The sequence below is a fragment of the Homo sapiens genome, chromosome 9 (genome assembly GCF_000001405.40).
Source record: "Homo sapiens chromosome 9, GRCh38.p14 Primary Assembly".
NCBI classification, from domain to species: domain Eukaryota; kingdom Metazoa; phylum Chordata; class Mammalia; order Primates; family Hominidae; genus Homo; species Homo sapiens.
In genome coordinates, this window is record NC_000009.12 from 136,848,919 (window position 1) to 136,868,330 (window position 19,412).

Genomic DNA, 19,412 nt, shown 5'->3' on the forward strand with positions numbered 1-19,412 from the left:
GGGCGGTGGAGGGGGTGGAGAGCGAGGCCTTCGGGCGGTGGAGAGCGGGGAGGGGGGAGGCCTTCGGGCGGTGGGAGGGGGAGAGAGGGAGGCCTTTGGGCGGTGGGGGCCACGGGGAGGGTGGTCTTCGGACTACGTGCGGGACAGGAGGTCAGGGCTGGCAAGTCCCTCAGGCCTCCCTCGTTGCCCCAGCCTCGCGGGCCGCCTAACTGCCCCGTTCCAAGGGTGCCACCGGACCCCGCTGGAGAGGAACTTCTCCGTTGGCTGGATTTCATCACCACCCATTCCCGATTCCACGTTTCCTTTAAGCGGGGCTGGCGGAGCCGCAAGGCGGCAAGGAACTGGATTGCGATTGGTCAGCACGTGCCTCGGTCGGCGGTACAATTGGCTGAGGCGCTGGGCCTTGGGAAGCATTCCCCGACGGGATTGGTCGTCGCTCTCGCAGAGCCCGCCTCCCGCAGTACAAGCGGCCCCCGGGTCGGGTGGGAGGAGGGGACTCCGGGAGGAGGAACATGGCGGTGGCGGACCTCGCTCTCATTCCTGATGTGGACATCGACTCCGACGGCGTCTTCAAGTATGTGCTGATCCGAGTCCACTCGGCTCCCCGCTCCGGGGCTCCGGCTGCAGAGAGCAAGGAGATCGTGCGCGGCTACAAGTGGGCTGAGTACCATGGTGAGGGCGGGACCTGCGGGCATGCCAGGGGCACGCCTGGCGAGGCGGGGGCGGGGCTGGCGGGACGGAGACGGGGCTGACGAGGCAGGGGCGGGGCTGGCGGGGCGGGGGCGGGGCTGCGGGCCGTAGCGGACTGCGCTCTGCTCCGAGTCCTGCCCCTGCTAGGTTTGACCCAGGCTGAGGTCCTGGGCGGGAAGGGCGTGACACGGCCTGACACCCTCCCCAGCAGTCTCCCAGTTCCCGCGCCCTCCCCGGTTCCACCCTCCTTCGCTCATTCATCCCTGTCCCAGCCTCAAGGGGCTTCGTCTCTCCTGGGGAAGGGGCTGTTCAGAGCTGGGATTTCAGACCCCTTCGGCTGGGAGTTCCTCCCGCGGCCTCCAAGGGCGGCCAGGGCACGTCCTGAGGCCGCCCTCCCATCCCAGCGGACATCTACGACAAAGTGTCGGGCGACATGCAGAAGCAAGGCTGCGACTGTGAGTGTCTGGGCGGCGGGCGCATCTCCCACCAGAGTCAGGACAAGAAGATTCACGTGTACGGCTATTCCATGGTGAGCCGCAGCCCCGTCCCGCCCTGCCGGAGGCCCCAGTACCAGCTTCGAGGCCCACCTGAGCCTGCTGCCCTGACCCGTGGCCCCAGCTGAGCACGCAGGCTTCCTGGGGTTCTCCCAGGGTCGGCGGCAGAGCCCTCCCTCCAGGGCCCATTGTGTTCCTGCATTCCCCCATGGAGCACACGCCAGACCTGAGGGGTGGGACGGACACCCCCAGACATGGCCGGCTGTCTCCTCTCCCTGCCTTGGGAGGCCTTGCTGGGCTCTAGCTGTCCTCCAGCACTTTGGGCCCTGGGCCCCCAGAGGCAGTCAGTACCTGGGTGGAGCTCAGAGTCCCCACCTGTGCTCTTCACAAAAACCACCAGCAGATGAGACCCACGTGCGTCCCTCTGGGCGCCTCAGGCCCCAGGATCCACCATCAAGGTTTGCTTGCCTGTGGAGGTCGCCTCTCCCCAGGGGAGCCCCCAAGGGCGGTCGGGATGGTGGGTTTGGCATCCCCAGGCACTGCCTATCCCTTTCCCACACTCGCTTCTGGTGTGGCTGGTGGCTGGATGCCCAGAGCCGGGTATCGGGTTGAAGGGTCCAGGTAGTGCCAGCAGGCGTCTTCTCTTCTCCAGGCCTATGGTCCTGCCCAGCACGCCATTTCAACTGAGAAAATCAAAGCCAAGTACCCCGACTACGAGGTCACCTGGGCTAACGACGGCTACTGAGCACTCCCAGCCCGGGGCCTGCTGCCTCCAGCAGCCACTTCAGAGCCCCCGCCTTTGCCTGCACTCCTCTTGCAGGGCTGGCCCTGCCTGCTCCTGCGGCAGCCTCTGGTGACGTGCTGTCCACCAGGCCTTGGAGACAGGCTAGCCTGGCCACAGAATTAAACGTGTTGCCACACCTGCCGGCTTCTGAACTCTGTCCTTGGCTTCCTGCACCCTGCGTCACCACCTCCGGGGGCCCCCAGACCCTAACTAAAGCAGGTGGGTGGGGGAACACAGGAGTGGCCCCAGGGAGTGGCGGTGCACACTCAGCCCTTTGGGGTCTGATAAAGGGGCCCGCTGATGGCCTGACTGCTCTTCCCACGGCCATCGTCCTCCAGGGCATCTTGGAGGAGGTCTGGCAAGCCCTTGCGAGAGGAGTCAGGGCCTGGTCCCTCGGGCTGGCCAAGACCTGGGGCGCCCACCAGTGCTCCCTCCTATGAGCCCATCCCAGGGCTCCCCAGTGTCCTGTCTGCCCTGAGGCTCCTTCCGTGACCTGCAGGCTCCTTCCATGACCAGCCCCATGGGGCCTACCAGTATCCAGGGTCAGGTCGCACAGCTGCATCTACCCCACAGGCTCACGTTGACTCTGGAGGCCCCTCCCAGGTCCCTCTTGCACCCGGCAGGGCTGTGGGCAGGACACGGGTTCAGGCCTTGCCCTGGGAAGCCCCATACACAGTGGGACTCCATGGGGTGGTGCAGGGGCACCCTGGGGGCCAGGGCTGGTTGTACACAGGGCACCCCCACCTTTGTCAGCTCACTGGTCCTCCGGCCAGCCTCTCCAGACGGGCACTGTCATAACCACATTTTACAGACCGGGACACTGAGGCTCAGTGACACAAGCTCCGAGGTCACACCATGGGAAATCACAAACAGGGCCTGGCCCCAAATGCCACACTCCTTCCCCAGCCCCAAAGACCCTGCCCCAAGCATGAGTCTGCTCCATGAGAAACCGAAGTTTCTGGGCTCCTAGGGACCCTGTATCTGGCACCGGACAGCACCTGGCTGCTCAGGACGAATGAATGACGGCGTGATCCTCCACAGCCTGACTTAAAGGCAGGTTCCCCACGGCTGAGAACGCAGGGACCAGCTCTGGTGCACGTGCTGGACTCCTGCAGCTGCTGGACTGGTTGAGTCCTGACCTTGGCCAGCACCACGCTATTGCCAGAGGCACAGTGAGAGGCCACGGCGGCCTCTGCCCGCCCCACACTGCCGAGCAGAGTCCTGGTGGGGTGCCTGGGTCCCTCCCCATTCCAGTGGGAGCCTCCCCTTCACCAGGCAGGGCAGGGCAGGGTGGAAGAGCCTGACCTTGTGTCTGAGGGAGCCGGGCAGGTGGGAGCTGACCCTGGGTCAGAGGCCCCCTCCTGGGGCCACTTTCACGGCCCATGCTTGGCACCGTCAGCACTGGGTGGGGCCGGGCCGAGGGGCCCTCCACTTAACAGCAGAGTCAGCGTGCGGGGCCAGCGCAGGCTGATAACCGCACGGAACTTCCCAGGCACCCTGTGTGGCCGCACTGCTCCCTCTGGCCCAACCATGCCTCTGTCCAGCCACCTGCTGCCCGCCTTGGTCCTGTTCCTGGGTAAGTAGTCTGGTCCCACTCCTGAGGCAGGACCAGGGGCCCTGGCTTCTGAGCCTACCATCTGTGTGGCAGTGACGGACACCAGGGCTGATGCCTGAGCCCCAAAGGGAAGGAGGGTTGCAAGGTACTACCTTGGCCGGCCTGCAAGGGGGGTGACCTGGAATCAGCCCATGGGGTCCTCGGGCCTGCCAAGCAAAGGAAGAGGCACGACTCCCCTCCCAGTCTGGGACAAGAGGGCTCAGGAGGTGCCCCCAGCTCTGCCAGCCTTCATCTGCCACCCTTGGACTGGGTGGAGCTTGTGGAGGCCCTGGGCCGCCCGTCGATGCCTCCCATTGGGGGTCGCCCTCCCAGTGCCCAGTTCCCTGCTGGGCACTCTGGGTTCCTGCTACCTTTCTTGGGGTGCCCCATGGCCGGGTCCCCCTCCCCAGCCTCTTCAGGGCTGGAAACAGGAACGTGCTGTGCTTGGTCCTGAGCCGGGTGGGAGTTCTCTGTGGGTCCCAGCCCCTCCCTGCTCCATCTCCTGGTCTGAGGGGCATCCCCGGACAAAAGATGTCCAGTGCTAAAACTGAATAGTCCTAGGCAGGCTGGGATGGCTGGTCACCCTGCCCCCAGGCCACCTGGCTGTCAACCTCCCAGCAGCAGGGTCCTCAGGCTGGGCCTGGGTCCCCAACCACTGCAGGAGCCCTGGCCAGGCCGTGTGCAACTTCGTGTGTGACTGCAGGGACTGCTCAGATGAGGCCCAGTGTGGTGAGCCAAGACCAGATGGGCGGGCAGGGCCAGTGCGAGCAGGTCTGGCACACACCTGACCACCCACTCTCCCAGGTTACCACGGGGCCTCGCCCACCCTGGGCGCCCCCTTCGCCTGTGACTTCGAGCAGGACCCCTGCGGCTGGCGGGACATTAGTACCTCAGGCTACAGCTGGCTCCGAGACAGGGCAGGGGCCGCACTGGAGGGTCCTGGGCCTCACTCAGACCACACACTGGGCACCGACTTGGGTGAGGCCAGGGCAAGTCTCTGTGCGCCCCTGTCCCAATACCCTCCTTGCTCCCTGCCCCGTCTCCTGACCTCTCACCTGCGCCAGGCTGGTACATGGCCGTTGGAACCCACCGAGGGAAAGAGGCATCCACCGCAGCCCTGCGCTCGCCAACCCTGCGAGAGGCAGCCTCCTCTTGCAAGCTGAGGCTCTGGTACCACGCGGCCTCTGGAGGTGCACCCTGGACCCCCAAGGCTCGTGGGGGGTGCCCAAGGGGAGGGCGGGTGGGCAGCTGGGGACAAGCAGGGCCGCAGCTGCCCTGGGACCCCTGACATTGCAGATGTGGCTGAACTGCGGGTGGAGCTGACCCATGGCGCAGAGACCCTGACCCTGTGGCAGAGCACAGGGCCCTGGGGCCCTGGCTGGCAGGAGTTGGCAGTGACCACAGGCCGCATCCGGGGTGACTTCCGAGTGAGCTGGGAGGGTCTGGACGAGTGGGGGCCTTGAGGAGGGGTCTGGGCCCTGACTTAGGTCCTAAGAGCCTGTTCTCTTCAGGTGACCTTCTCTGCCACCCGAAATGCCACCCACAGGGGCGCTGTGGCTCTAGATGACCTAGAGTTCTGGGACTGTGGTCTGCCCAGTAAGGCACCGCCTCTTCCTGTTCCACCCCCGGGAGGGCCCCCACCTGCCCACTCCCCTGCTCAGACCCTGTCTGCCCCCGAGTGCTCTCCCACTCCTGGGGCCTCGGTGAAGGGTTAACCCTGCCCCACCCAGCCCCCCAGGCCAACTGTCCCCCGGGACACCACCACTGCCAGAACAAGGTCTGCGTGGAGCCCCAGCAGCTGTGCGACGGGGAAGACAACTGCGGGGACCTGTCTGATGAGAACCCACTCACCTGTGGTGAGGCCGGAGTGGGGGCCCAGAGTGAGGCTGGGAGACTGGACGCCTCGGTGGGGGCCCTGGCACTCATCCAGGAGGGGGTGCCTTGGATCCTTGGATGGTCCTTCTTGGGGTGTGGTTGCCAGGGCCCCCCTGGAGCTGGGGCCATACGGCTTCAGGAAGCACTGCCTGGTGGCCCTGACACGCCCACCTCCTGCCCTAGGCCGCCACATAGCCACCGACTTTGAGACAGGCCTGGGCCCATGGAACCGCTCGGAAGGCTGGTCCCGGAACCACCGCGCTGGTGGTCCTGAGCGCCCCTCCTGGCCACGCCGTGACCACAGCCGGAACAGTGCACAGGGTGAGGCCCACAGAGGACCCGGCCCAGGCCCTGCCCACGCAGCCACAGCCCAGTGGCCCTGGCCCACTCCCGTCCTTTCCCGCAGGCTCCTTCCTGGTCTCCGTGGCCGAGCCTGGCACCCCTGCTATACTCTCCAGCCCCGAATTCCAAGCCTCAGGCACCTCCAACTGCTCGGTGAGATGGGTGGGGCTCACAGGGCCTCCCTGCTCTCCGTGCTGGCTGCCCCGGTGCAGGCCCCCAGCCAGCTCTTGGTTCCACAGCTGGTCTTCTATCAGTACCTGAGTGGGTCTGAGGCTGGCTGCCTCCAGCTGTTCCTGCAGACTCTGGGGCCCGGCGCCCCCCGGGCCCCCGTCCTGCTGCGGAGGCGCCGAGGGGAGCTGGGGACCGCCTGGGTCCGAGACCGTGTTGACATCCAGAGCGCCTACCCCTTCCAGGTAGGGAACAGCAAGAGGGTGGGGTCTGGGGAGCCGCACTGTGGGCAGGGGAGGGGAACCCACAAGGTACCCACTGCGGGTGGACAGGGACCAGACCCCAGGGGGAAATAGGCTGGGCACCCCCTGAGCCCCTCTGCCCTCAGATCCTCCTGGCCGGGCAGACAGGCCCGGGGGGCGTCGTGGGTCTGGACGACCTCATCCTGTCTGACCACTGCAGACCAGTCTCGGGTGAGCCTGCTGACTCTGCCCTACCCTGCCTTGCCCTGGAGAGGCACAGCACTCCCCATCCCTGCCTCCTGACACCAGTTCTGCCCCCACAGAGGTGTCCACCCTGCAGCCGCTGCCTCCTGGGCCCCGGGCCCCAGCCCCCCAGCCCCTGCCGCCCAGCTCGCGGCTCCAGGATTCCTGCAAGCAGGGGCATCTTGCCTGCGGGGACCTGTGTGTGCCCCCGGAACAACTGTGTGACTTCGAGGAGCAGTGCGCAGGGGGCGAGGACGAGCAGGCCTGTGGTAAAGGGGCTCAACCTCCTGCAGACCTCCTGCTGCGGAGCCAAGGGGGTAGGCGCCGGGGCAGGCTGAGGACTCTGAGGACTCTGCCATTCAGTGCCGGCTGCTGTTCCAGGCACCACAGACTTTGAGTCCCCCGAGGCTGGGGGCTGGGAGGACGCCAGCGTGGGGCGGCTGCAGTGGCGGCGTGTCTCAGCCCAGGAGAGCCAGGGGTCCAGTGCAGCTGCTGCTGGTGAGGCCCAAGGCCCAAGGCTCAAGCCCCCGCCCGGGTGTGAGCAGCGTCCTCAGAGGGGTCTCTGCTCTGCCTCTGCACTACAGAGGGTCTCTGGACTGGGGATCCCTGAGGGACAGAGTGGGGCCCTGGAAGGGATGAGGCTCTGAGCACCATGCTCTTCCCCTAGGGCACTTCCTGTCTCTGCAGCGGGCCTGGGGGCAGCTAGGCGCTGAGGCCCGGGTCCTCACACCCCTCCTTGGCCCTTCTGGCCCCAGCTGTGAACTCCACCTGGCTTATTATTTACAGAGCCAGCCCCGAGGTACCGCCACACTCCGCAAGTTCCCTGGCCAGCCCCTGGGTGCTCCCTGCACAGTGGGAGGGGTCTGGGGCCGGGTGACCCACAGTGCCCCCCGCCCCGCTGGCCAGGCTTCCTGGCACTAGTTGTGGTGGACAACGGCTCCCGGGAGCTGGCATGGCAGGCCCTGAGCAGCAGTGCAGGCATCTGGAAGGTGGACAAGGTCCTTCTAGGGGCCCGCCGCCGGCCCTTCCGGGTGAGGAGGGCAGCCCAGAGTGGGAGCTCCGCTGGAGCGGGCCCTGACTTAACCATCCTCCTCATCCCCCTACCCCATGAAGCTGGAGTTTGTCGGTTTGGTGGACTTGGATGGCCCTGACCAGCAGGGAGCTGGGGTGGACAACGTGACCCTGAGGGACTGTAGCCCCACAGTGACCACCGAGAGAGACAGAGGTTCCTGCTGCCCATCCTCACTCCCACCTGGGTGCTCCCCTTACACTCCTCCAGGGACCCCGGAGCTTCCACCTTCTCAGGGCTCTGGAGGGGGAGGGGAGAAGGTGTGTGACGCCACCTGGCCCCACCCCCAGAGGTCTCCTGTAACTTTGAGCGGGACACATGCAGCTGGTACCCAGGCCACCTCTCAGACACACACTGGCGCTGGGTGGAGAGCCGCGGCCCTGACCACGACCACACCACAGGCCAAGGTAGGATGGGCGCTCAGACCGGGGGTGGCTTTCAGACGAGAGTGGGGCATCTCTGCAGCACAGCCCCATGCCCCCTGCAGGCCACTTTGTGCTCCTGGACCCCACAGACCCCCTGGCCTGGGGCCACAGTGCCCACCTGCTCTCCAGGCCCCAGGTGCCAGCAGCACCCACGGAGTGTCTCAGCTTCTGGTACCACCTCCATGGGCCCCAGATTGGTGAGTGGACCTGGAAACAGGGCAGAGCCTGTGGGGAGGCCCCCGGGGGTTCAGAGTCCCCCGCTCTGACACCCATCAAGGCACAGGAGAGAGGTCAGTTATGGACTGGTCCCCTCCCTGCAGGGACTCTGCGCCTAGCCATGAGACGGGAAGGGGAGGAGACACACCTGTGGTCGCGGTCAGGCACCCAGGGCAACCGCTGGCACGAGGCCTGGGCCACCCTTTCCCACCAGCCTGGCTCCCATGCCCAGTACCAGGTGAGGCCTGGCACCCGGGTGGGAGGACAGGGCAGGGCCCCTGGCCAGCTGACACCCTCCACCCCCAGCTGCTGTTCGAGGGCCTCCGGGACGGATACCACGGCACCATGGCGCTGGACGATGTGGCCGTGCGGCCGGGCCCCTGCTGGGCCCCTAATTACTGCTCCTTTGAGGACTCAGACTGCGGCTTCTCCCCTGGAGGCCAAGGTCTCTGGAGGCGGCAGGCCAATGCCTCGGGCCATGCTGCCTGGGGCCCCCCAACAGACCATACCACTGAGACAGCCCAAGGTATGGGGGCCTGGCAGGGGCAGGGATTGAGGGGCTGGCCAGGGGCTGGCAGGCTGATGCTGGCACCTCCAGGGCACTACATGGTGGTGGACACAAGCCCAGACGCACTACCCCGGGGCCAGACGGCCTCCCTGACCTCCAAGGAGCACAGGCCCCTGGCCCAGCCTGCTTGTCTGACCTTCTGGTACCACGGGAGCCTCCGCAGCCCAGGTGAGGGGCTTTGGGAGGGGGCCCCAGTGGGCTCAGGGAAGCTTGGCCTGGTGTCCCCACCAGCCTTGTGCTGAGGCCACTGGGGAGCCTCTTGCGCCCGCCAGGCTGGGAGCCTGGGAGCTCAGACCAGGGCCTGCAGGTGCTCTCCCCACACTGCTGACCTGGGCCGCCCCTGCTGGCAGGCACCCTGCGGGTCTACCTGGAGGAGCGCGGGAGGCACCAGGTGCTCAGCCTCAGTGCCCACGGCGGGCTTGCCTGGCGCCTGGGCAGCATGGACGTGCAGGCCGAGCGAGCCTGGAGGGTGAGTGCAGGGTGGGGTGCCCCTCCCCCTCCCCCTCCCCCGAGGGCTGCCTGGACCCGCTGAGGCTGCCCTGCCCTGCACCCGCCAGGTGGTGTTTGAGGCAGTGGCCGCAGGCGTGGCACACTCCTACGTGGCTCTGGATGATCTGCTCCTCCAGGACGGGCCCTGCCCTCAGCCAGGTGGGAGCCCTGCCGTGGCCTCGGCCCTGCTCTGGGGTGCCTGCCTAGCCCTTTCCCTTCGTAGTCGTGGTGCCCAGGGCTTGGGCCGTGGGGCAGCACCACTCACCCACCCATGTCCTGCAGGTTCCTGTGATTTTGAGTCTGGCCTGTGTGGCTGGAGCCACCTGGCCTGGCCCGGCCTGGGCGGATACAGCTGGGACTGGGGCGGGGGAGCCACCCCCTCTCGTTACCCCCAGCCCCCTGTGGACCACACCCTGGGCACAGAGGCAGGTACGTGCCCACTGGAGCCAGGTGGGGAGGCACACACAGCCACCTGGCCTCCTGCTGCCCACCCACAGAGTACATGCCCCATCCAGAGGAGGCCCTGCTCACCGAGCCTCTGCTCGGGCCCTGAGGGCTGGCTCTGCCCATCAGCTGGGCATCAGCCTCCTCTTGTTCCCAGGCCACTTTGCCTTCTTTGAAACTGGCGTGCTGGGCCCCGGGGGCCGGGCCGCCTGGCTGCGCAGCGAGCCTCTGCCGGCCACCCCAGCCTCCTGCCTCCGCTTCTGGTACCACATGGGTTTTCCTGAGCACTTCTGTGAGTCCGGCTGGGCCAATGGGTGCCTGGGCAACGGGGGCAGCAGGGGTCCAGGAGCAGAGGTGGGGAGGTGGCCTCCCCAGCCCGCCCCTGGTTAGGCGTGCAGGAGCCCCAGGACCCCAGGCCTGACACGCCCTGGCCCTGCTCTCAGACAAGGGGGAGCTGAAGGTACTGCTGCACAGTGCTCAGGGCCAGCTGGCTGTGTGGGGCGCAGGCGGGCATCGGCGGCACCAGTGGCTGGAGGCCCAGGTGGAGGTAGCCAGTGCCAAGGAGTTCCAGGTGAGGCTGGCTGTGGGCAAGGAGCCTCCTCCTCCTCCACCCAGGGCCCACACAAACTCCTTTCCTTCTCCATCAGATCGTGTTTGAAGCCACTCTGGGCGGCCAGCCAGCCCTGGGGCCCATTGCCCTGGATGACGTGGAGTATCTGGCTGGGCAGCATTGCCAGCAGCCTGCCCCCAGCCCGGGTGAGCCCTGGGCTGCAGTGGAGGCACGGAGGAGGGCCCAAGGGGCCAGCCTGGCTCGGGGTTTGCCAGGCTTACCAGTGTGTGGTCCCAGGAGCTGCGAGCATGCTGCACCCAGACAGGACAAGAGAGCTGCCAGGCCCAGGCCCTGTGCCCTCCTCACTCTGCCCTGCTCACCCCTGGGGCCGCTGCCTGGGCTGGGCTGTCCCTGGGGTGCAGCCTCTGGGGCCTGCCCTGCCTGGCTGTGGCCTCTGTGCTCCCTGTGCCCACACCCAGGGCAAGGTCCATCCTGGAGGAACCGCCAGCCGGGTCAGGGCAGCCACTGACTGCTCTCACTTGGTGAGGGAAAGAATCTCGCCTGGGGCCATGAGCCCCACCAAGTCTGCAGACAGCAGCTGCCTGTCTGCCAGGCCCCATCCTTGTGGTAGCAGAACCAATACCCTCTGCCTTTGAAATAGGGGTGAACCCCAGGAGCCAGCAGAGGCTGAGGGACCATGCAGCCCCAGGCTTCCTCCTTAGCCCCAGATGTGGGGGCTGCTTTGGAGGGCTCACATGTCCCTATGGCCCACAGGGAACACAGCCGCACCCGGGTCTGTGCCAGCTGTGGTTGGCAGTGCCCTCCTATTGCTCATGCTCCTGGTGCTGCTGGGACTTGGGGGACGGCGCTGGCTGCAGAAGAAGGGGAGCTGCCCCTTCCAGAGCAACACAGAGGCCACAGCCCCTGGCTTTGACAACATCCTTTTCAATGCGGTAGGAGCCCCTGGGGATGGGTGGGCAGGAGCCTCTGTGCTCAGCTGTGACGCTGGAGGGCGGGCAGTGGCGGGACACAACCCCCCGGGGAGGAGCCCCCACCTGTGCAAGGCCCATCCTTGCCCTCCCTGCCCTGCCTCTCCCAGCCACCACTGTCAAAGCTCCTCCTCCTTGGCCGGGCGCGGTGGCTCACACCTGTAATCCCAGCACTTTGGGAGATTGAGGTGGGCGGATCACCTGAGGTCAGGAGTTTGAGACCAGCCTGCCCAACATGGTGAAACCCCGTCTCAACTAAAACTAGAAAAAATTAGCTGGGTATGGTGGCAGGAACCTGTAATCCCAACTACTCGGGAGGCTGAGGCAGGAGAATCGCTTGAACCAGGGAGGCAGGGGTTGCAGTGAGCGAAGATCGTGCCATTGCACTCCATCCTGGTTGACAAGAGCGAAACTCCGTCTCAGGAAAGAAAGAAAAAAAAAGCTCCTCTTCCTCCTCCTAGGATGGTGTCACCCTCCCGGCATCTGTCACCAGTGATCCGTAGACCACCCCAGACAAGGCCCCGCTTCCTCACGTGACATCCAGCACTTGGTCAGACCCTAGCCAGGGACCGGACACCTGCCCCGCCCAGGCTGGGACAGGCTGCAGGTCTCAGGATATGCTGAGGCCTGGGCGTTCCCTGCCCTGTGCTGACTCTGTTGCTCTGTGAATAAACACCCTGGCCCATGAGGGCAGCCCAAGCTCCCAGGGTGAAGTCAGTGTGTCCACACTTTACCAGCCAGTGAGGGTGGGGGCTGCAAGTGTTAAGTGACGTGCTAGGGGCGCCTGCTTGCTTCTGGATGCAGCTCAGGAACCAGAGACAAGGGGACCCTCTCTCATCAGGACACAGACCCACCCAGGACAAGGGCCGGGGCAGGCCCTACCAGCTAGGGGCTCTGCATCTATTGAGGACAACAGTGAAACTGACCCACAGCATCAGGGGCATGCAGAGGAGATGACCCTTAGGGGACAGGGTGCATGGAGCAGGCCTGGAAGGGAGAAGTGCCCCAGCTGGGCCCACTGTCTGTGGTATAGGCCTGAGCTGCCCCAGGGGCTGTGGGTCACAGTACCCAGGTCACCAGGTGCCCCAGGGCTGTGGGTCGCAGTGGCCAGCTAAGTGGGTGCCTCAAGGCTGCGGCTGAGCCCTTCCCTTTGGCCCCCATGCCTGAGCAGGAGGGTGACCCTGTGAAGCTGTCACTGGGCCTGGGGCACCAGCAGAGGACTGCCATCCTAACGCAGGGTCAACGTCACTAACCTCAGCTCCCAGAGCTCTGCTCCTCCATGTGGGTGACTTGGCCACTGCCCCATGGTGAGGGCCTGGTCTTGTGGCTCTGAGGCCTGGCTGTGGGTGGCTGTCCCCAGGGAGGGTAGCGATACCCAGACCTGTGCAGCCAGGCCCCCTCCTGCCCACAGGAAAGCCCTACCCTGCCTCATGAACACACATCTGCCCCCAGGAGCCATGCGGTGTTGGAGGGCACAGCACAGCACCCTTGCCAGCCGCTAGGCTCCCATCCGCCCTGGGGACTAAGTCCCAGCGGAGGGCGGCAGTTGGGCACGGCTACCGCCGTCCCTCGTCTTCAGGTGCCGTGGGGCTGACCAGTGCCCACCAACTGTCCACGCAGATGGGCGAAGAGGAAATGGCCCTGCAGAGACCTTCAGAGCTCCCCCCGGCAGCCCACTCCCGGGCATCAGTCATGAAAATTCACCAGCTTTCCCCACAACTAGGGGCCTGGGAGCTGAGAGCAGGACCGGACAATCTGGCCCCAGCGCCAAGGGCAGGAACTTTTCCCAGCTTCTCTTCAGAGCTGCATCAAAGAAAGCAGCGCCCAGTGACACCGCTCCTCTTCCTTCCACGCCTCAGGCCTCCACCCCTCACCCTTGTATAAGGTGGTGCTCAGAGCTCCCCGAGGCCTCTGAGCCACAACCGCTACTGGGCAGACACCCCAGGACAGGAAGGTGGAGTTCTGCACCCTGATCTGAGGAACGCGATGTAGGGAGAAAAACAGCCAGCAGAACCCAGCGCTTTGCAAGGTTTTGTTTGTTTGACAGCAGGAATGGGCTGGGGAGGGTCCCCCGCAAGCTGGACCCCTTGTTCCGTTCGGCCCGTGAGGAGAACGGAACTGGCGGCCAAGGGGAACCGGCGGAACGAGATCAGCTGGAGCGCACTGATTTCGAGGCTTTGTGTTCATTTCGCCCTAGGCCCCTTCTCGATGGGCTTTCCAATGTCCTTTCCCCGGAGCTTGAGGCCTGAAATGAGCCACAGCCACTGGCCACTGCAGCACCAGCTCCCTCCTCCCCCCAACGCTGCCCCTCTTCAACATCTTCCCAGGGAAGGGGGGCCACGCCGCTCCCGTGCCTCACTGGGCTCTCAGCACACGAGCACTCCTGGTTCCCACATCTAATTTTGAAGAGGATGAGTCTGATCACCTTAGACAGCAGAGCATGAACACCCCTCTCCGGAAGAACCGGAGCCGGGGTCCTCTGTGGAACTGGCTTCCGGCCCCATGCTGACAGGGCCCGGACCCGCTGTGCTCAGGCTCAGAGAACCATCGCCAACAGCACAGGCTGACGGGAACTGGCAAGGGGAAGGGACTCGGACTCCACTTGCTCTTAGGGGTTTCCTGAGGCCTGCAGAGACCCCACCATCCCTCAGTCTGTACTACCTGGAGAAGCAAAGCTCCAGAATTCAGAGAACAGGGGACCCCCAGGGCCATCTTCTTCCCCCGAGTCCCACTCTCACCAACCCCAGCTGGGAGCGGGTAGCCTCCCTGTTCAGCGGACCCGGCGAAGGGTGGAGGGACACTCACCAATGGCCCGCTCGATTTTGCCAAGCACCTGGTTATTGGGTATGGCCCGTCCGCTCTCATAGTCCGCGATCACCTGTGGCTTCTCATTGATTTTCTAAAGAGAAGATGTGCTTTATACACATCAGCTCCACTAGGACTGCTGCAAAACCAGGCGCGAAGCGTCGCCTGAGAACAGCAGCTTCTAGGGCCCCTGGGGTACGCACCCACACGCAGCTGGGTTTTGTGCGAGAGGCAGTGAGAGCCGGGCTGACCTGGCTTCCCGAGGCATTCCCTGCAGGGGAACCAGGGGGGTGGAGCCCACCCTCCCCGTGCTATCTGAACACCGGCCATCCCCCTCCCCAAACCCACAACCCCAGGAGTGAGAGCCCCGGCGCAGCCTCACCGTGGCCAGGTCCTTCTGCGTAAGCCCCTTGCTCTGCCGACCTTGCTGGATCACCTTGCCCACCTCCAGGGTCACCCTGTCATGGTGCAGCTCCTCTGTCTCCCGGTCCAGCTTGGCCGTGTTCTTGGTAATAGAATGTTGTTTGTTCTGGCCAGCAGCCCCTGGAGTCGGTGTGAGGCAAAAGCAGAGGAGAGGATTTGGAATTAACCTGAAGAAAAACCATTTCAAAGCGGTAACCAGACCCCAGAGGCTGCCTGAACTCAAGGGGACATGGGAACCCAGGCTGTCCCAAGTTCACACACCTCAGGTCGTGGACTTCCAGAGTTTTCTCTCAGTTATGAGGACAGGCAGCTGTACTCATGCCAACCAGAGCTGCTCTGGGAAGATGGCTGCCTCCCAGGGCTCCGGCCAGCACCGGTGCAGGCAGGCACTCAGCTGACAACGTCCCCGGGGGCGCCGCACACACCACACCCACCAGCACATGGACCCCACAGCACAGCCTCATGTTGCAAGCGGAAACACAAGTACCTACATTTCTTGGAAGTCTCCACATCTTCTCCTCGTCTCTGTGCCGCTAAGATAGCCTAGAAAATTAGAAAACATCAGTGGATCAAAATTAGCTTTGACAGTATCCAGCACACACCAATTCAGGCCTGCTGTTAGCCAGTTAGCACACTGCTAAGGACTAGTGGTGCCCAAGGACTGATATGCAGTCCTGGGTTCAGTTACCTAAGCTCAACTAGGCACCATGGCTTATGCCTGTAATCCCAGCACTTTGGGAAACCGAAGTAGCAGGATCACTTGAGGCCACGAGTTCGAGACCAGCCTGGGCAACACAGCAAGATCCTGTCTCTACAAACAATAAAACACAACAAAACCCCAAACTCATTATACAAAAGCCTCTACAATCAGATGTCTAAGAAAGTCACAGTTAACTGCTAAGAGAACACCACTTCCTTTGCTGTTGAGAAAGACACACTAGGGATTTTTTTTTTTTTTTTTTAGAGTTGAGGTCTTGCTATGTTGCCCAGGCTGGTCTGGAACTCCTGGGCTCAAGTGAGCCTCTGGCCTCAGCCTCCCTCCTGAATAGCTGGTATGCGTTAGTGGATTCTTTTTGAGAAATCATATTTAGCACAGATTTACTTTTCTGCTGGACTCTACTGCAAAAGTAGGAAGGAACACCAAATACTGGCCTGGTGTGGCCTTCCTCCCTGAATCTGGTTCCTAGTAACACAGAGATGACACATCTCATGGAAGCCTGCAGGCTCTCCAGAAACATCACCAATAACAGTGATGCCATCTCATCTACAGTCACTGAATATTAATATAATGTATTTATTAACTTTTTTTTTTTGAGACAGAGTCTCACTCTGTTGCCCAGGCTGGAATGCAGTGACACGATCTCGGCTCACTGCAACCTTCGCCCTCCGAGTTCAAGCAATTCTCCTGCCTCAGCCTCCCGAGTAGCTGGGATTACAGGCTCCTGCCACCGTGCCTGGCTAATTTTTTGTATTTTTAGTAGAGACGGGGTTTCACCATCTTGGCCAGGCTGGTCTTGAACTCCTGACCTCATGATCCACCTGCCTTGGCCTCCCAGAGTGCTGGGATTACAGGCGTGAGCCACCGCGCCCGGCCAACATTTCTACCACTTCAGAGGAGTGACTTGTGGAGCATCCTAAGTGTGATCTGCTCACAGATGCTGCCACGCAATTATTCCCATGACTCCTAGCTTGTGGCCATTAAGTTTCCTTTAAAAGAAAAGGAGAGTGAATTTGGTTTTGACTGTGCAACCAGTAAGGGTAGGGCAGACCAATGAATCCCTGTCACCAGAGCCCCAGCGCATCCTGGCCCAACTGGCCTCAAAGGCTTCAGCCCTAGGCCACCTGAGGGTACGAATGAGGCAGAGGCGGTGACTAAACTGTCCTCCCTATTACATCAGACTCACAACTGACCCTCGGATCCATCAGCCACATTGGTAATCTCCTTCCACAAGTACTGTTCAGGGCACGCCCATCTTCCACCTGTGCAACAGGGTCCACCTGCTCATGGGGTCCCCTGAAGCAGGCACTCTCTACAGCCTGTGATGCACCCAGGCAGGCTCCCTGGGCAGTATCTGACCAGCGGAGACCAGTAGAACCAAGCAGGTCCCAGGCAGAGAGAAAACTCTCAGGGAGGAGCCTACCCCCTGTCCCCAGCTCCCACTCAGGTCACTAACCTCTGCCCCGTCACCCAGTCTCCCGCCCCAGGCCCTCAACTGCTGTCCAATGGCCCCCAGCCCTATCCCAACCCCAATTCCCCACCTTCATCGCTGGTTCCTGCTGCTTGCCCCAGTCCCCACCCCTGTCCTAAGCCCTGTACCCCACTCTACCCTGTTCTTCCAAGCCCTGTCCCCATCTCCATCCCTGCCCCCGTTCCCAGTGCCCACCCTGGTTCTCTGTCCCCTATCCTCACACAAGGCCCCCAGCCTTGTCCCCGTCCCCGTCCCCACCTCCTGCCTCTGTCCTCACACCTGTCCCCACCAACAGTCCCTGCCCCTATCCCCTCCCCGCCCCACCCTGGCACTGGTCCCGGCCCTATCGCCTGCCCCTTGCCCCGTCCGGTTCCCTGCTCCTCTCCTCCTCCAGTCGCCCGCCCCCTGCCTCCTGGGTCCGTCCATCCCCTCCTGGGTCCGCCCCCCACCTTCCCACCCCTGTCCTGGCCCGGTCCTCCTACCCCTGCGATTCGCCCCGCCCTTCGAACCCCGTCCTGCCCCCGGCACCCCAGCCTTGTCCCCGTCCCCTGCGCCCTGTCCCAGGCCCCGCCTGCCCTTCCCCGAGCCCCCTGCCCCACGGTCCGTGGCCCCGGCCCAGCGTCCGCCCCGCCCGGCCCGGCCGCTCCTCAGTCAGCAAAGCACCTGCTTGGATTTGGCCTGGGCGGCCGTAGGGCCCTTCTTGCGCAGCACCGTCACCGTGTCCCAGTCGCTCTCGGCCATGGCGGGCGAAGACGAGCGTCCGTCCGGCGGCTCAGCGGCAGCTGCTAGAGACCTGGCGCGGCGACGCTACGTCCCCTCGGCACCTCCCCGCTTTCGGCGTCCCATTGGCTGGCTGCACGCGGGGGGCGGGCACTTCCCGTGCTCGGGGCCATTCGGCGTTCGGCTCGTCTGAGGGACGTCGTGGCCGGGCGCCGGCGACGTAGGGAAGGCGACGTCGGGGCCTGGCCTGGCCTGGCGAGGCGCGGTAGCCGCTGGGGCTGCAGGTCGGGAGGACCCCGGAGCCCGGGCCCCGCGGCCTCCGAGCACACGCGGGCGGCGGCTGCGCCCCGACGCGCAGCCCCCGTGCCTCCCCGGGCCCCGCACCCCGGCCGGGCCACGCGGGCGGAGGGGGCGCGGGGTCTCCGCTCTAGCCGTGCGGCCGCCCCCCTTTGTTTTGCCGCCTGCGCGGCTGGGACCTGCGCTCGAGGACCAGGGCCGTGGGGCCCGAAACGCAGCGTGGGGTGGGACACTTTTTTTTTTTTAACTTTTATTTTTTGAGATGGAGTCTTGCTCTATCGCCCAGGCTGGGTGCCGTGGCGCGATCTCGGCTCACTCCGTCTCCCGGGTTCATGCCATTCTCCTGCCTCAGCCTCCCGAGTACCTGGGACTACAGGCGCCAGCCACCACGCCCGGCTAATTTATTTATTTTATTTTATTTTATTTTTAGTAGAGACGGGCCAGGATGGTCTCGATCTCCTGATCTCGTGATCCGCAGGTGGGACTCTTTAAGAAAAAGAACGCAAGCCGGGCACGGTGGTTCACGCCTGTAGTCCCAGAACTTTGGGAGGCCGAGGCGGGCGTATCACCTGAGGTCGGGAGTTCGAGACCAGCCTGACCAACATGGAGAAACCCCGTCTCTACTAAAAATACAAAATTAGCCGGACGTGGTGGCGGGCACCTGTAATCTCAGCTACTCGGGGAGGCTGAGGCAGAAGAATCAGTTGAACCCGGGAGGCGGAGGTTGCGGTGAGCCGAGATCGCGCTATTGCACTCCAGCCTGGGCAACAAGAATGAAACTGCGTTTCAAAAAAAAAGAAAAAGAATGGAAAACTGTGAAAACATCGGTTGCAAAAATGAATGGTTTTGCATGATGTTTATTTTCTGTAATGTATAAAGTGTATATGTTATATGACAATAATTCTGTAATACCCTATTTTCCAGCCGTTTTGTATAATGAGAAAGGTCATTATACATTATCATTGAACAACTTTTTTAGGATTTTTATTTTTATAGACAGGGTCTCACTCTGTGGCCCACGCTGGAGCACAACATTGAGATCTCAGCTCACTGCAGCCTCGACGTCCTGCGCTCAAGCGATGGGACTATAGGCGCGGCCCCCACGCCTGGCTAATTTTTGTATTTTGTGGGGTAGAGATGGGGTCTCCGTGCCGCCCTGGCTCGTCGGTCTGGAACTCCTGAGCTCGCGTGATCCTCCCGCCTCGGCCTCCCAAAGCCTGGGATTACAGGCTTGAGCCACCGCAGGCCCTAATCATAGTATTGACTTCCGGGCTTTGAATAGATGCTCCACAAACAAGGAACCTGATAAATGCAGTCTCCATCCAAAAAGAAAACATACATAAATGCTGTATTAAATTGGAAATGCTGCATTAGCAAATGCACTCCGCGGAGGAGACAACTGTAATTCTAACCAGGCAGTGGGAAGTTGAGTCTTCTGCTTACCGTTTTTCACACCGGATGATTGGAAGAACCTTGGGGACACACTGATGGCTCCGTCCATACAAACCTTGCTTCTCTGTTTCCCGCCGACTTCCAGCACCAAGCTCCGTTCGGCTAAGGACTCAACAGCCTCAGCCGGCCAGCAAGGATGTGCTTCCACTGAATGAAAATAATCTCTTGTGGCCGGGCGCAGTGGCTCACTTCTGTAATCCCAGCACTTTGGAAGGCCGAGGCGGATGGATCACGAGGTTGAGAGATCGAGATCATCCTGGCCAACACGGTGAAACCCTGTCTCTATTAAAAATACAAAAATCAGCTGGGCATGGTGGTGCGTGCCTGTAGTCCCAGCTACTCAG

At 63.2% G+C, this 19,412-nt stretch overlaps 3 protein-coding genes across 12 annotated transcripts, besides 7 other annotated features; 2 read left to right on the plus strand and 1 right to left on the minus strand.

The window, feature by feature from the left end:
• Positions 23-102: a silencer, noted in NCBI's record as "silent region_20552". NCBI's record gives its function as "represses an Ori minimal core promoter by ATAC-STARR-seq in GM12878 lymphoblastoid cells {active_cell/tissue: GM12878}" and the evidence as "EXISTENCE:reporter gene assay evidence [ECO:0000049][PMID:35858748]".
• Positions 283-342: a silencer, noted in NCBI's record as "silent region_20553". NCBI's record gives its function as "represses an Ori minimal core promoter by ATAC-STARR-seq in GM12878 lymphoblastoid cells {active_cell/tissue: GM12878}" and the evidence as "EXISTENCE:reporter gene assay evidence [ECO:0000049][PMID:35858748]".
• Positions 463-742: an enhancer, noted in NCBI's record as "active region_29329". NCBI's record gives its function as "activates an Ori minimal core promoter by ATAC-STARR-seq in GM12878 lymphoblastoid cells {active_cell/tissue: GM12878}" and the evidence as "EXISTENCE:reporter gene assay evidence [ECO:0000049][PMID:35858748]".
• PHPT1 (phosphohistidine phosphatase 1) lies at positions 491-2,106 on the plus strand. Of its 6 annotated transcripts, none has more exons than NM_001287343.2 (4): positions 491-672; positions 1,095-1,219; positions 1,585-1,642; positions 1,837-2,106. In NM_001287343.2, exons 1-4 carry the CDS (start codon positions 513-515, stop codon positions 1,869-1,871), a joined length of 378 nt encoding a protein of 125 aa, NP_001274272.1. In that variant the 5' UTR covers positions 491-512; the 3' UTR covers positions 1,872-2,106. The 6 variants fall into 6 exon arrangements, 4 of the variants coding, with proteins under 4 accessions (NP_001274272.1, NP_001129333.1, NP_001274271.1 ...); NM_001135861.3 differs by having other exon boundaries at positions 1,588-1,642; NR_109807.2 differs by having other exon boundaries at positions 1,095-1,642.
• Positions 733-812: a silencer, noted in NCBI's record as "silent region_20554". NCBI's record gives its function as "represses an Ori minimal core promoter by ATAC-STARR-seq in GM12878 lymphoblastoid cells {active_cell/tissue: GM12878}" and the evidence as "EXISTENCE:reporter gene assay evidence [ECO:0000049][PMID:35858748]".
• A 1,321-nt stretch (positions 2,107-3,427) lies between the features above and the next one.
• On the plus strand, positions 3,428-11,881 carry MAMDC4 (MAM domain containing 4). Its single transcript, NM_206920.3, has 27 exons — positions 3,428-3,544; positions 4,184-4,291; positions 4,367-4,540; positions 4,627-4,752; positions 4,859-4,989; positions 5,074-5,158; positions 5,293-5,418; positions 5,621-5,758; positions 5,844-5,932; positions 6,019-6,192; positions 6,336-6,420; positions 6,513-6,701; positions 6,814-6,930; positions 7,100-7,231; positions 7,792-7,908; positions 7,989-8,123; positions 8,247-8,380; positions 8,449-8,668; positions 8,741-8,878; positions 9,061-9,179; positions 9,268-9,358; positions 9,482-9,628; positions 9,801-9,935; positions 10,087-10,214; positions 10,291-10,399; positions 10,968-11,146; positions 11,644-11,881. Exons 1-27 carry the CDS (start codon positions 3,499-3,501, stop codon positions 11,683-11,685), a joined length of 3,414 nt encoding a protein of 1,137 aa, NP_996803.2. The 5' UTR covers positions 3,428-3,498; the 3' UTR covers positions 11,686-11,881.
• Positions 8,726-9,363: an enhancer, noted in NCBI's record as "H3K27ac-H3K4me1 hESC enhancer chr9:139752096-139752733 (GRCh37/hg19 assembly coordinates)". NCBI's record gives its function as "activates a minimal SCP1, AML or CMV promoter by ChIP-STARR-seq in naive H9 embryonic stem cells {active_cell/tissue: H9 hESC(naive)}" and the evidence as "EXISTENCE:reporter gene assay evidence [ECO:0000049][PMID:30033119]".
• Positions 13,201-17,390, minus strand: EDF1 (endothelial differentiation related factor 1). 5 transcript variants are annotated; one of them, NM_001281298.2, is made up of 5 exons: positions 17,263-17,390; positions 14,902-14,953; positions 14,433-14,530; positions 13,988-14,081; positions 13,201-13,427 (listed from the first exon to the last, which is right to left on the minus strand). In NM_001281298.2, the coding sequence occupies exons 1-5, from the start codon at positions 17,338-17,340 to the stop codon at positions 13,366-13,368; spliced, it is 384 nt and encodes a 127-aa protein (NP_001268227.1). In that variant the 5' UTR covers positions 17,341-17,390; the 3' UTR covers positions 13,201-13,365. The 5 variants fall into 5 exon arrangements, with proteins under 5 accessions (NP_001268227.1, NP_001268228.1, NP_003783.1 ...); NM_001281299.2 differs by having other exon boundaries at positions 14,424-14,530; NM_003792.4 differs by having other exon boundaries at positions 14,370-14,530.
• Positions 17,092-17,281: a silencer, noted in NCBI's record as "silent region_20555". NCBI's record gives its function as "represses an Ori minimal core promoter by ATAC-STARR-seq in GM12878 lymphoblastoid cells {active_cell/tissue: GM12878}" and the evidence as "EXISTENCE:reporter gene assay evidence [ECO:0000049][PMID:35858748]".
• Positions 17,382-17,691: a silencer, noted in NCBI's record as "silent region_20556". NCBI's record gives its function as "represses an Ori minimal core promoter by ATAC-STARR-seq in GM12878 lymphoblastoid cells {active_cell/tissue: GM12878}" and the evidence as "EXISTENCE:reporter gene assay evidence [ECO:0000049][PMID:35858748]".

Excerpts from the sequence above, each read along its gene's own strand:
- PHPT1 (NM_001287342.2), top strand. The coding sequence starts at position 513 with ATGGCGGTGGCGGACCTCGCTCTCATTCCTGATGTGGACATCGACTCC. Across the intron at positions 679-1,094 it reads GGCTGAGTACCATGGTGAGG|CGGACATCTACGACAAAGTG; the intron begins GCGGGACCTGCG and ends CTCCCATCCCAG. Across the intron at positions 1,220-1,836 it reads ACGTGTACGGCTATTCCATG|GCCTATGGTCCTGCCCAGCA; the intron begins GTGAGCCGCAGC and ends TCTCTTCTCCAG.
- MAMDC4 (NM_206920.3), top strand. The coding sequence starts at position 3,499 with ATGCCTCTGTCCAGCCACCTGCTGCCCGCCTTGGTCCTGTTCCTGG. Across the intron at positions 6,702-6,813 it reads CGAGGACGAGCAGGCCTGTG|GCACCACAGACTTTGAGTCC; the intron begins GTAAAGGGGCTC and ends CTGCTGTTCCAG. Across the intron at positions 7,909-7,988 it reads CGACCACACCACAGGCCAAG|GCCACTTTGTGCTCCTGGAC; the intron begins GTAGGATGGGCG and ends TGCCCCCTGCAG.
- EDF1 (NM_003792.4), bottom strand. The coding sequence starts at position 17,340 with ATGGCCGAGAGCGACTGGGACACGGTGACGGTGCTGCGCAAGAAGGGC. Across the intron at positions 14,531-14,901 it reads TGTGGAGACTTCCAAGAAAT|GGGCTGCTGGCCAGAACAAA; the intron begins GTAGGTACTTGT and ends CACCGACTCCAG. Across the intron at positions 14,082-14,369 it reads CGCAGAAGGACCTGGCCACG|AAAATCAATGAGAAGCCACA; the intron begins GTGAGGCTGCGC and ends TCTTCTCTTTAG.